At 38.1% G+C, this 14897-nt stretch overlaps 1 long non-coding RNA gene across 1 annotated transcript; it reads right to left on the bottom strand.

Moving 5' to 3' along the window:
• Window positions 1–4033: 4033 nt before the first annotated feature.
• LINC03018 (long intergenic non-protein coding RNA 3018) lies at window positions 4034–8082 on the bottom strand. Its single transcript, NR_134276.1, has 2 exons — window positions 7881–8082; window positions 4034–6290 (listed from the first exon to the last, which is right to left on the bottom strand). It is a non-coding gene; the product is annotated as a long intergenic non-protein coding RNA 3018 (long non-coding RNA).
• Between the last annotated feature and the right edge of the window lie 6815 nt (window positions 8083–14897).

Below are 14897 nucleotides of genomic sequence, written 5' to 3'. Positions count from 1 at the left end.
TCCTAGTCTCTCCCACATTCATGTTAAAGTATTTTTAGCATTTTATATACACATGTTTTGATCATTGCCTATTTGAACAATAATGAAAGTCTTAAATTTCTAGTCATCTTATATTGTTTCACATTGCTTCTTCTTCTTTCTGAAGAACTTTGCCGAGAGTGCTCTCAGAGAATCTTTGCATGATTAACTGTGTGAGGCTGAGTATGTGTGATAATATCTTTATTTTATCTTCACATTTAGATAATAGCTTAGTTCTTTGCCTTGAATCCTTTGAAACTCTTACAACCTTGTTTTCTTCCAGTTAGTGTTGCAGTTGTGAAATCTGATGTTCCTTTGAAGTGACCTCTTATTCCCCCCAAGAAACTTTTAGAATTATCAATGTCACTGATTTTCTAAATATTACTCTAATGTGTCTAGTAGCTGATGTTTCTTATTGATCCTGTTCGAGTCTGGGACTTTTTAAGTATACATTTCTTAGATACCTGAACCCTACTTGTTAATGCTTTTCTTCTGAAGTTCCCATTAGATACCTATCAATGTGTCCACTCCTCTCCTCCCGTCTTCTGATGTTTCCCTCATGTTTTAAGTCACTTAATCCTTCCCTGTTGCCTGCCCTGAGAGTTCCTCAACTGTACCTTCCAGGGCAGTAAAATGTTATTTTTTTCAGTACATTCTGCTGCTCAATGCATCTTTTGCATTATTTACTTCAACAGTTACATTTTCACACTTAATATCCCCAGTTGAATGCCGTGTTACTTTGTGTACTTGCCTCTTGTTTCTAGTGTCCTTTCTTACATCCCTGAAGACATTTATTTATGTTTACTTAAAACTCCTATTATATCTGGTATATTCATTGTGTAACTCCTGCTAGGTTGTTTATTTTCTTGCCCTTTACAGTGCTAGCACTTCTCAAATGTTGTCATTTATTTCCCTTTGAGTTCTATTCCTCTTGGAATTCTTTGTTACTCCTGGCTCACAATATAGGTCTGGGAGAAGGAAAATGCTCTGAAGTCGCAGCTTGTTCTCTTCCATAGGAGGTTTAGCTTTGGTGCCTTAGGACATTGGAGCCTCTGGTCTTGCAATCAGAGCCCCAAAAATACTCATTTTCTTCCTTCCCCCTCTGGGGAGGCTCTGCTCCAGACAAACCTCACTAGCTCTCCCATCCCCTCTTCGCCATGATGCTATTCTCTGAGACTCTTTTAATCCACAGCGTGTGTATAGAGAGATGGAGAGAGTAGAGGATTCCCAGAGGTGACCAGACCTCATGCATCTCTTGCTTTTGTAGTTTTGTCCTGGGCCAGCTCCAGTGCCTCCTCAAGTGTTTCTCATGAGTGTTCTGTGATGTTCAGAATACTTAACCTCCTCACTTCTGCGGCTTTTCCAGGGTGGGTTCAGGGGAAGAAGCCAGTAGCGTGTGCAAGCTTACCATCTTTTCTGGAACTAGAAATCCTTATTGACAGTAGGAGGAAATTCCTGAGATAACATCTATTATTTATTCATGTTTGAGAGTAATGAAAGCAGGACTTTAGCACTAGTGAAATCAGGAGATACAGGTGCAATTTTCAGCACTACATCTTATTGTCTCTGCGTCCCTCTACCTTTAACTTCTCTAAGTTTCAGTTTGGTCATTTGCAAGTTGGGAAAAGAAAACTGACACACTGTTTTATTCATCAGATACTGTGTATCAGGCACTAATATGAGGCCTGGACTACTTCATAAGACTTCTTGGAGAAGCAAAGGAGATAATAAGTAAAACAGCTAGGAAGATCAAAGTACACCATACTGAAGAGGGAAAACTGCATCAAGCTTGAGGACTTCGGCTCTCGAGTGAGAAAGATGTGGGTTCAAATCTTGTTTTTGCCACTTTCCTCTGTTATTTTGAGAATGTTATATAATTTTTCTGTGCATTAGTTTGGTGAGTTGTAAAATAGAAATAACATCTACATCAAAAGATCGCTGTGGGTTGAAAAGAGGCAATCTGGTGGAGCACTCAGTGGTTACTCAATGCCTGACATCGATTCTGCATTCAATAAACATTAGCTATTATTAGTGAATATATTTTCTCCTTCCTGGAATGGCAGCATTCTAGTAGCTTTAATCACTTCTCAAAGGAAATTAAAGGGACATTGGCCTTAGATAATTTAATGTTGCAGAATCTAAATCTAGCCAGTCCATTATTAAATATTGAAGAATTATGATCACTTTTTTGCCTTAAGAGCATCTCTTAGATTTTTGAGTAATCAATATTGTGGTCTTTGAAGTAAAAGCTAAAGCCTGTGAATCACTGTTCAGAAACTTGGTCTTGGGTAACACTGAAGTGTTTTGAAAAGAAAATGTTTTCAATAATAACAATTCAAAACTTGAGAAAATGTGTATGGATTAGACTAGCTACATAGGGTGAGGAGAAGGGTAAGTGTGAAAATGAAGAAAGACAGAGACTACAGATGGAAGATCAAGAATGCCAGAAGACATGAGTCCCCAGTGATTCCAGCATGCGTCATAACTGAAGCTGTGGAAATGGGGAGTCTTATTCTAGAATAGTGTTAATCTCTATTGTCCATACTGTTGTTAGTAGCAGCATTAGCTATTAAACAGTTGAAATATGGTTAGTGTGGTTGAGCTGAAGTTAAATTTTATTTATTTTTAATTGATTTCAATTGAAATTGAAATAGCCACGTGTGGTTAATGGCTACTGTATTGCACGATGCAGTGCTAGGAAAGGAAATTGGCAGAAATTATGTCAAATTAAAAATGGGTAATGAAGGAGTGAGAAAAACAGGTCTCCACAAAGACCCTCAAGGGAAGACTTTAGGGAGCCAAGGGTCTATGGATATTTTCTGATTCCTTCAGGGGTTTTTAGACAACCATCTGTCACCACCACATTCAAAACCCTCTGCCTTCTGTAACGTTGTCATCACCTTGCAATGCTTGTTAATATTTTCCCTTGTCATAACCATAGCCCTATGCTCAGAGCCCAGGGGAGCAGCACACCGTATGGCATGGAGTTCTCCCAAGGCCAGGAGAGAGACATTGATGCCAGAGCACAGAGACCAGTGTTCGTAGCATCAAAGAGTCTCCTTTTGTACACACAGCACATACCACCCAGCACACTGGCATGCAAAGGGAAAAAGCTGCCTCGTGATGCAGCAACCTGATCTCCCTGGACTTAGTCATAGATAGCTAGAGCCTGTAATTTGCTAAAAAGAAACTTTAGCTCCATTTCTTGTGTGTTTGGGCAAGATGTATATTTAGATATGGGCAATATTTGTGTGCGTGTGGTAAAAAAACAAATAGTACAGCACTGTAATAGCCTGTTTAAAGAAAGAGAAAGAGATACTTTCTCTTTTAGAAGTAAAAAATTTGAAGATGACTTCATGCTTGTTTTGGCTTGTGTCTTCTCAGCCTTTCTCAGGATGTCTAGAGCTGTTCTGAGGCTTAAGCCCTGAGCTTCCCAGGTTTACGCAGCATGTGGAGTATCCTCCTAGGAGCATTCTCTAACTCACCTGAGCATGGGACAGGGTGCCTGGGCTCCCTTTAGCCCACCATTATTGAAGCCATGTAATGAAGAGGTCTTTTTTAAGCATCAGATATGTAGTGTGTTAGAGCTCTCCTGGGACCATTCTGGCTGCACCAGAGAAATCAGAAAATGTGGGTTAGAGAGAGATTGATATATGGATGGAGAACCTTCTTTGCAGGTCACAGGAGGAACTCCAAAGACAAGAACAATTAGCAGATGGCCTTTGCTGGGTCTCAGCAGGAGGGGGCAGAGGGGATGCTTCCATTGCTAAGGTGCATTGCATCGTGCCAACAGCTTTCAGCAGCTAGAAAGTTTCCGTGGTTTCAGAGAGACATAATGTATCTTCCGTGGTTATGGTAAAAAGCATTTCCCCCCACCTACAGAGTGATGCTCGGTTATTGACTATATATTATGAAGCTGCATATCACAATTTATAGGAATATGAAAAGTTGCTATTCAATGTATTATTCGCCTAAATCCTAAATTAATACAAAGTTCACAAAGAAAAAAATAATCTTACGAGGAAAAAATTCTCTTTTTATTATTGAACCAAGATAGTATATTTAGATCTGTGACCTTCCTCATTATTTATTTACACTCTGGGGCAGACTTCTATGTTATACAAAATATTGGCAGGAATAAAAATAGACAATGATTTCAAATAAAATGTATTTTTCTTCACCAAATGAATTTTAGGGATGATTACACATCCAACCCTAGCTACCCTACATACGCACAAACATGTACAATTGGCATGATAGGAGCTTGGCGCAGAACATTTGAATTTTTCCTCCACTGTATGATACTTTGGTGTCTCCTCTAGTTAAAACTTGATTGACTTCTGTTTTGTAAGTGTTTGATTTTCTTTTGCTGTTGTGGCTGCTATAACATAAATGCATCCAATTTGTCCATTTGCTCAAAAACCCTTTATTAGGAATCTATTATTCACTCAAGGTCCAGGTAAGCAGATAAGTAATTGAGTATTAATTCTGCATAAAGTGGAAATTGCCGCTGTGACATACTCTTGGGCACTGTGCACCTCATCCTTCAAATGCCTAACAACAAAAAAATACTCCAAAAATAGTAAATTACAGTTTACTCTTGTTCTTTTGTGATGATATAACTAACATCTTAAGGGATAACCCAAGCACAATACAAAACTTTTAAACTGTGACCTTTTGATGTGGACTGCTACTCCACAGAGTATACTTTTAAAAAGCACAGATTTTAGATCTGCAGAGCTGCACAGCTACATGCAAAGATTTACTTTTCAGTGGTTTTCTCCCTTGGCTTAAAAAAGGTTCCCCTTCTTCCAGGACATCCTCCTTTATCTACTGTGGCTACATTATCTCCTGTGAGAGCATATTCCTATGATTCCTTTAGTGCTCATTGAGTATATATGAATGCGACATCCTTAGTATTATTGCAAACGGGAATTAACTCCTGCACTGATGGCTCAGCTTCCCCGTGTGTGAGTGTTCTCTGCCAACCGGAGTAGAATGCCCTTTCATGACAGATAGCACTAACCCCAGCTGCCACTACGCCGCTCTGGGACAGTGCAATGGGAGCCAGGCATCATGGTGGAGTCTTCTGCATGCACGTGTCTCTCATGCACCCCTTATACCGGCCCTGGGGAGGACGGAGGGGTGGCTGGTACTGAAGGTGGCTGGCAGCCTGCAACAATTGGCTTCAGGAAAGTGTTTCAATTGAACAATCTGTTCTTTCTTTTTAAAGGGCAGTTTTCAGAACATTTGGTGTATTTTTGGTTTGTCATGAAGACAATGTATTTTCCTGGAAGAAATTCCTCTGTTTCTAATCAAAATCTTCTTCTGACTACCGGACTTGCCTGTCCATTCAAGACCCCACAACCATTGCTTTCAACTAGCTTCCCTTGTGTTCCCACCAAGAAAACTAAATCATCACTTCTACATGGCTTTTTCTCCTGACAGACACAGAACTAACACAACTGAACACACTGGATTGCCCCTAGCTGTTGAAAAAGGGATCGTCGTAAAAATGTTTTTGTTTTTACGTTGTATGTCCTTCCTTCCTTGTTTCCTTCCTTCCTTTTTCTTTCTTTCTTTCTGTTTAGAAACAGAGACTAAAACAGAGGCTTGATCAATTCTTTCTCAGCTATTAAAAAGAGAAAGGCACTCTCAGGGAATGAGATTCAGGCAACAGCTTCACACTCCCGAATCTATTAACACTCAGATGCACCATCAAAACTCCTCTTCGGAAGCTCTTTAGGGAGGCAGAAAAGGAGGGTGAAACAAAATAGGGGATTTTTTCAAATGCCAGCATTTGAAAAGAAAAGTGAGAGTGAGAAAGAGAGCTGCTGGCAGAAGGCATGTGTGTGTGTGTGTGTTGTGTATGTGCATGTGTGTGTGCGCATGTGCATGTGTGTGCCTGTGTGTGCTTGTGTGCTTGCTGGGAGTTTGGGGGAATGGGGCTGAGAGTAGAGAAGTGCAGTGACATAAATCAGGCTTGTGCTGAGTTTCCTGCTTTTTTATTGGTTTGTTCCCTGTGGTGCTTTCTCTAAAGCTGCTTCCTCTTTCACTACGCTCATTTTGTTCCCAGTCCAGGAGGTCTTAGGATATTGGGGAGATGCCAAACATCTGGAGTTTGTGAAGGAGAGGGAGGAATCTCCATGCTTGACTAACTTAATCTTCATGTGTCCAAGGGGAAGCTCAGCATCATGCGGCCAGAGGGGTCTGTAGTCTGTCCGCTTGGCAGACACCTGTTGAGTGCTATAGAATCATGCAGGATGCTCCACCTGTGTAATCAAGAGATAGGTAAGAGGTAGCCAAGTTTATAACATTTCCACAACAACTAGGGTTACAATAATTATGCCATAACCAAGTATGTAATTTTTTTGAGACAGGGCAACTCTACTATTTCAGTCTTTCATATGTAATTACCCTATGCATTATTATTAAATCTCTCACTTTCAGAGCATTTACCCTGTGCCAGGCCCTGAAATAAGTGCTTTACATATGTTAGCTCCCCTAATCCTCACAATAATTCAATAGATAATTAATGTGTTGTCATTTCTATTATGTGGATAAGAAAATGGATTCATAGAAGCTATGTTATTTACTCAATATTCCCTAGCCAGAAAATAGTATTCCTAATAGTTAATCTGGATTTTTCTGATTTAAGAATCCTGGATAAAGATTATTTTTGACATTTCAATTGATTATTGCAAATGTTAATGCAAACAATGTAACTAATAATGAAGCACTGGGATCTCCTGTTTCTGTTCCCTGATAAAATGAACAGAACCAATTAAAATATTGGTTTTAATTTTCTACAGTTTATTTCTTTTCCTATGTGTTCTCTTCAGTAGTTAAAGAAAGAGTTTTTTTATCAAAGACAAAATCTTAAATCAATAAATTTAAGACTCCATACTTGCTACAAATAATTAATTTAGGAAAAAATCAGGCATTATATTATAATTTATTAACCATGACTGTGAAAATGTTGCTTGGGCCAAGCACATTTCTTTCTTCTAAATTCTAAGAGGTTGAGCATAATTTCTGTGAATTACTTAATATTTTTATGTATGTCATTCAGTTACCTATTTCTGTGTAAGAAACTACTCCAAAACTTAATAGCTTAAAACAATACTGTTTTATTTTATCTCACAGATTCTGTGTGTCAAGAATTCAGAAACAGCTCAGCTGAATGGCTCAAGTAATACCGACTGAAATCACCGGGTTTTCAGCTGGTGGTTGGGATGGTTGAGAGCCGCGCTGTCCAATTATGCAAACATATATACATAGAGAAAGAGTAATTTTAAATTTTCTAATAACCAAATATAAAAATTTTAAGTGGAATTATTTTAATAGCCTATTTTAATACAATATATCTAAAATATTATTTAAACATAATATAAAATTCTTAATGAGATTTTTAAACATATTTTTAGAAATCCAATATGTGGCCAGGCATGGTGGCTCATGCCTGTAATCCCAGCACTTTGGGATGCTGAGGCGGGAGGATCAGTTGAGGTCCAGAGTTCAAGACCAGCCTGAGCAACATGGAGAAACCCTGTCTCTACTAAAAAATACAAAATTAGCCGGGGATATTTTGGGATTAGGTGGCACATGCCTGTAATCCCAGCTACTTGGGAGGCTGAGGCAGGAGAATCACTTGAACCTGGAAGGCAGAGGTTGCAGTGAGCTGAGATCGTGCCATTGCACTCCAGCCTGGGCAACAAGAGCAAAACTCCGTTTCAGAAATAAAAAAAAAAAAAAAAAAAAAAAAAAAAAAGAAAGAAAGAAAGAAAGAAAGAAAGAAAAGAAAAAAAGGAAATCCAGTATCTATTTTACTCTTATAGTATATCTCAATTTAAATTACTCACATTTTGAGTGCTCAGTAGTCACATGTGGCTGATAGCTATTGGATAGCACAGGTTGCTGAGGCTCCAAGATATCCTCACTCTCATACTTGCCACCCTGCTGGAGTTGGCTGGAAGGTTGGGCTCAACTGAGCCCCTCTCCTCTTCCAAGTATTTTTAGTTTCTGTGTGGTCTCTCCCATAGGAATAGTCAGCCTTCTTCTAAGACAGCTCAGGGCTCCAAGAGACTGAGCTGAAAGCTGCCAATCCTTTTAAAGGGTAAATCCTGAACTGGTGTGGCATCATTTCCTCTGTAATATATACAACAAAACAGTCACAGTTCAGCCTAGATTCAAGGGGATGAAAAACTGATCCATTCTTCAATGGAAGGATGGTGAAAGATGTGTTGCTATCTTTAAAATGCCAGAAAAACATATTAGTTTATGTCAAAATAGGATACAGCCTGAATATCCCTTATCCTAAATGCTTGGGACCAGAAGTGTTTCAGATTTCAGATGTTTTTTCAGATTTTGAAATATTTGCATTATACTTACCAGTTAAACATCCTTAATCTGAAAATCCAAAATCCGACCTGTTTCAGTGAGCATTTCCTTTGAGTATCACGTACACACTCAAAATACTATGGATTCTGGAGCAATTAGGATTTCAGATTTTCAAATGAGAGATGTTCAACCTGTAGAATAAAGCTGCACATTTTAAAGTCCATTTATATAGATGATAAACCATTGAGATACAGTATATAATGAAAGTGAAAGTAATCAGGAATGGAAAACCAAACGCCGTATGTTTTCACTCATAAGTGGGAGCTAAGCTATGAGGATGCAAAGGCATATGAATGATACAATGGATTTTGGGGAGTGGGGGAAAGGGTGGGAGGCAGGTGAGGGATAAAAGACTACACATTAGGTACAGTGTACCCTACTTGGGTGATGGGTGCACCAAAATCTCAGTAATCACCACTAAAGAACTTACTCACACAATCAAATACCACCTCTTCCCCAAAAGCCTGTGGAAATAGTTTTTTTAAAAAAGAAAACACCAGTATACGTTGCACATAGGAAACATAAACGTTATTTCCAAAGCTGTTAAAAAAAAGAAGGTGAAATAATAAGCCTAAATTTAGCAGATGCTGGAATATTATAGTAATACATGAATCAATTATGGATGATAAATATATGTGCATTTATAACCTAAACATCTATAATTGATCATATATGGTTTATTTTATATTAGATTCTTAGTGAACAACGCAACATCTAATACCAAATATTAACATTGTTCTTACAAGAAAATTTTAAAAAATTATTTTTCTGCCATGTTTCCTAATGCTACCAATATATAATGGTGAAAATTTCTTATTTTATTCTATCTGGGCTTTTTTTTTTTTTATTTTTAGGAACTGTTTTGCAATGGAGTTCCTGCCAGTGACTTTAAACCTTGTTTGGATGACTATTTAGCATGGAGATTTCTACTTGTTTGCAAATAATCTGCTTGAAATATCAAAGAGGAGACCACAGCAATTATGAAACAAACAGAATCTTACGGACTTCTTTTTATTTTTTTTCCCCAGATATTTGGATAGGTCAGATGAAATCTCACATATTGAAATCACTTATTTATAAGCACTAGCTACACAAAATGAAATCAAAGCACAGTGAATAAGGAATTCAAGGAACTACTGTCCTGGGGTAGTAATATCTTGAGATTCTGAAATTTATTATTTCTGTCACTAAGCTAGAGAATGGTAATTGAGCTAGACTAATATAACATTGCTGTTGAAAGTCTCTGACTATTCTCTCAAAGGATATGGTCTTTGTGACTAGTCACAGGTTTCACTTAAACTCATTGCTTTTGACAATAACAAGTCTCTCTTTTTTGGACTTGTCCACATTGTGCCAAGTGGAGCTGAGATTAGAGAGTTTATCAGTTGTAGTAGATATCCATAATGGACCAACAACAACAAACACAATTATGTGAACTGGAATTTAATTCCCAGCCATAGCAGCCAGGAAGAATTTACCAAATCTATCAGTCGTCAAATTCCATGACGTGCCTGAAAATATGTGGTAATTAAAAATGTAATCACTGAGGCTAGAAAGAAGATACTATGTTCTCATTTAAGGTCTTAATTGACTCATGCAGAAGATGCCTGTTAGTTTATTCTGCATGATTTGGTAATTTCAATTCTACATGGAACTGCAGAGTCTTACGTACTAGTATTGATGTGAGAGTTTGAAAGGGCAGAATGATCCATACATTTGCTGTTGACCTGCCACTTGGAGAATTTACTGTCTCAGAACTTCTGAATTGAATTAGAATTCTTCTCTGTGGTGTACACTCAATAAAGAAGGCATCCAGTTAAAATTAATCTGGTAGATTCAGACTCAACACACAGATAAGATGGAATAATCACTATATTAAAAGTCACTTAGCTTTCATTCATTTAACTTATTTATTTACTGTCTCACCATATTCTTTCTTTCAGTTTTATACTTAATGTCAAGAACATTCTATGGAGAGAAAGTGAACTAATATTTATTTAAAACATTTTAAAAGCCACTTAAGGAAATCTATTACTACTTGCTTGCTACTGTATAAGGCAGTTCACCTTTATGTTCCTATTTACTGCTCTCAGCAAACCCAGGAGATAAATACTATTATTAATGCCATTTCACAGACGGTGAAATTGAGTCTTAAGGTGATTAAGTCACTTGTCCACTATCCTGCAGCTAATAAATGGCATATAAGGGATGTGAGCCCAGGTTTGCCAGGCTGTAAAGGTCTAGTTTTTAACTACTCTGCAACAGTAGCAGGAGTACCAGTAGGAACCATAGTAGGAGCAAATAGCTAACATTTACCGAGTACTCATTGTATGCCAGCCCCAACCTTTTTCCCAGACAGCTAGCTCAGAGCCATCCTAAACCAAACCACGCAGAGTTCTGTGCCAGCCTGAAATAGCAGTGCCCAATGGCCAACAGCGTCTCCCAGCACCTAACAGGTTCTGAGGCATGTACATCCCTCTGTGGAAAGTCTCTCCAGCACTCCAGAGGAGAGACTTCCAGCAATTACCAACTGTGAGACACCTGAGTGATTTCTGAGCCATCAGTGAGTCACGGCCATGCATTCTCCACCATCTGGAGTTCAGCTACGATGGCCATGAGGAGATCTTCCCTGGGTGTTTCATGTCAGCCCTGGAAATCATGCCTGCTCCTTCCATCTGTGGCTCCTAGGTTCCTTAGTATTCTCTTTAATTCTCAACAGGCAACTCCTCATAAGCAAATCTTCTGTTAATAATTCCTTATATTACACTTTGTGGTTGTAAACATTGCATGTGTTCTGTCTCCCAACTGGGCCCTAACTCATATATTATTTTCATAAAAGCTCCATAAACAAAAACAATCATTAGCTCCTTTTTACAGGTGAAGCAACAGAAGTACAGAGCAGTGAACATGGTTTTCTCAAGTCTGCTAGCTCTGAGAGTTGATAGGTCTGGCTCTCCTTTATCCCCCTTGTCTTACAAAGGTTGGAGGCCCCCTGAGTCCCATTCTCAGTCAATTCTCAGTCTAGTCAACTTCCTAGTTCTTTAGGCTCCAACTAGCACTGAATTTATTTTCAGTTAAGACCTGAATTGTTTCTCCTATCTCCCAAAAGATTATATTTTGAAGCCATTCTCTCAATGTGACTGTATTTGGAGATAGTGAAGAAATTAATGTTAAATAAGATACTGAAAGAGTAATCGATCATGTTAAAAGTGATTGATGAGGGTCTTAACATGATAGGACTAGTGTCCTTACAAGAAGAGGAAGAGTCTTTTTCCACAAAAAAAGTCATGTGAGGACAAGTGAGCAGGTGATTGTTTGCAAGCCAAGGAGGTGGGTCTCACCAGGAACTGATGATGCTAACACCTTGATCTTGGACTTCCAGCCTCCAGAAATTTAAGAAAATAAATTTATGTTGTTTAAGCCATTTAGTCTGTGGTGTTTGGTTATGGCAGCCCAAGCCGACTAAGTCACAGCCCAAAGCTGGTAAATCCAAAATCCACACCTTTAGTGTTAGTTGTCTACCACACATCTCCATGTAGTTTTCAAACTTTAATCTTGCCTCCCCGAATTGTCCTCCTCATCAATTCTCCATCATCATTAAAGGCCTCACTAGCTGTGGAGTCACTTGAGCCAATGACCTTGGGATCTCCAACTTCTTTAGTGCCTCACAGCCTTCATAGTTATGACAATTCTAACTATTAGATAGTCTAGTTCATTTCCTCCTTTGTTTTCTATACAACTTGCTTATTTCATGATTTAATTATATTTCATTTGTTCTTTTGCAGAAGCAAAGTGATCTTGTTGTCTTAGTGCTCCTTTTCTCCATCCCTTTTTACTTCACGCCATAAATCCTGATCTGATTATGCTGCTCTACAAACCTTTGACAACCCCTTACTCACAGCAGCTTTTCCAAAGTCTGTCTCACAGAAGATACACCCGAGAGACAGTCTTATAAAAACAATTTTGTGGTTTGACTCACAACAGCCATTAATATAGTAAAGGCTCATAAAAGACCTGCAGAATGTCTTCGATTTAACTTTATTTAGTCCAGCATTTTTCAAATTCAGGAACTATCCATTCTCTCTGTCCCATTTTTCCCTCTTTGCACATGTTTGGCAGGATGTGCTGACATATTAGATAAAATAAAATCTCTTAATCTTGGTGTGGCAGAGTCTGGTTGTCACCCTGTAGTGAATACCGCTGTTGTCCTGCACATACCTCCTTAGATCTTACTGTTTCTATGGGACTGAGCTCAGCCTCCATCCTTTGGGGGCAGCCTGAGCCTCAGGCTGAAGGATGACAGAGAAGCAGGAAAGCCCAGCTGTCTTATCTCAGGTCAGGATTACCCTGAGAGCTCATTTTCCTTCCAGAGCTTCCCCCATGGTTCATGCTGACACTGCAATCCTGGGATCGTTGCCTGCAGTTATACAAGGCTAGCTTCTTTCTCTTTCCTGTCTTGTTGAGATAATTAATAAATCATGTGCATACAAATCTTTGTCTTGGGCAAGCATCTGAGAAAGCCAGCCTGAGACAGTACACCAATATTCTTTCAAAGCCTATGTTATTGCATAGCAGTAATGTAGTTCAGAGAGAGCAGTAACTCCATTCTTCCTACCACAGTGATTGGCTTAGGAGAAAGGAAGTTTATGCCAATTAATGCATAGAGCTACCCTAAAATAATCCAGAATTGGGATTAATTCTGGATTGGACATGAGGTCTACTCAGACCATTGACACATGAGGAGGGGATTTGCTGTATAAGTATATAAAGTTACATAAAAATTGGACCCAAAGGCATTTATTGTGAAATAATCATTCTTCTAGCTCTGATTCATCTCAGATGGAATGTTAGCTAATGGCGAATTGAGACTATTTGCAGTGACAGAGTTCTGTAGGAAGGCTTATTTGAGTAAAAATAAATAGCAAACAGCAATGTGAATCAGACCATGTTTGAAAAAGAAACAATGTGAAGGTAGTTTTAGTTTATTAGGAATTATATATTTTCATTTAGAAAAATCCTAAATGAGCATTTTTATAGCCACAGAAGCAGAGGAATCTGTTTCACCAAGCTTCATGATAGCCTGGTATCAACTTTGCTGAAATATTTCAAACCCTCCTACATCAATGTCTCTCAAAGTGTGAACCCTAAACCAACAGCGTCAGTGCCACCTGGGAACCTATTAAGAGTTCGAACTGTTGAGTTGCATCAGTAAACCCAATGAAGTAAAATCTTTGTGGCTGGAGTGGGGGTGCCTGGCAATGTGGGTTCTAACAAGCTATTTGTTGATTTCACTACATGCCAAAGTTTGAAAATCTCTGTCCTACATGAGGGCTCACACTTTACCTTTCCTGTCTTTTCCTTTATTCCATTAACACCATTCTCATTATGTCTCCTATCTATACTGTCTTTCATGTAAAATGAAAGACATATACATAAACCATCACTCTGATTCAAAATACAGTATATTATGAAAGGAATCAATTCAATTTCATACGTATCATAGATTTTTACCTCAGAAATAACTTGTTTCTCATTGCTACCATAGCAAATAATATCTCAGCAGCTAGAGTTTTCTTAATATTTCACAAGTTTGTATTTATGTTTCACGTGCTGCTTTCTCAAAGGGAGATGTTTTACATATATATCTACATATATAATGACTATGGTGATGAATCAACATGTAGATTCTTTTGAACAAAGCACTGCATACTTTTTATTTTATATAAATAAATTTTGTGCTTTTTTAAACCTCTAGTTGGTTAAAAATGACCCCATAATCTGGTCTAAATATTAAAAGCTTTCAAATTGATTCATACTTCCCATCTATCCCCAACAATACTTAATAATGCTTTAGGGAAGTTCAACTATTTCTACTTTTATGTTTTGAAACTGGGTTTTATTCTGCTTTGCTAAACTTTTAAAAGATAATTATCTCTAAGTATTCAAGTTAAGTAGATGAATCTCTGTCTAACTTATGAGCAGACTCCTAAAATTCTCAGAAAACTGGGTGAGTATAATGAATTATTTTTATAGAGCTATAAACTAATCATATTTTTATAATAATGTGAGTCTAGCAAACACAGATTGAGGTCAGGTAATTTTTCAGGTTAACATTCTACATTACTGTAACAATTTTTGTTATTCTTAAATGAAAATTCTTGATAAACATGAGCATGGCTCTTTAAAAGCTTCCTACACTGGAAGATCTGCTACCTGGATCTCTGCTTCTCCATGGGAGAAAACGCAAGCTTAAGAGGATATGAGAGAAGGCAAAACGGCCAGTGGGGGGAGGCATGGCACAGCTCAGCAGGTGTCAAGAGCATGAGGAAGTTTGCTTTTTTGCTCTTTGGAGGAATATACATGTAAAAACAAACATGAATTTATTATGAAGGAAATTGTGAAATTTATATGACCTTGATTTCAATGCTGAATTTAAAAATAAATGGAAATAAAAATCTCATTGCTGGGAGCCAAGCTGG

This window comes from Homo sapiens, chromosome 8 (genome assembly GCF_000001405.40).
Source record: "Homo sapiens chromosome 8, GRCh38.p14 Primary Assembly".
NCBI lineage: Eukaryota > Metazoa > Chordata > Mammalia > Primates > Hominidae > Homo > Homo sapiens.
This window is presented reverse-complemented; position numbering and strand designations above follow the sequence as displayed.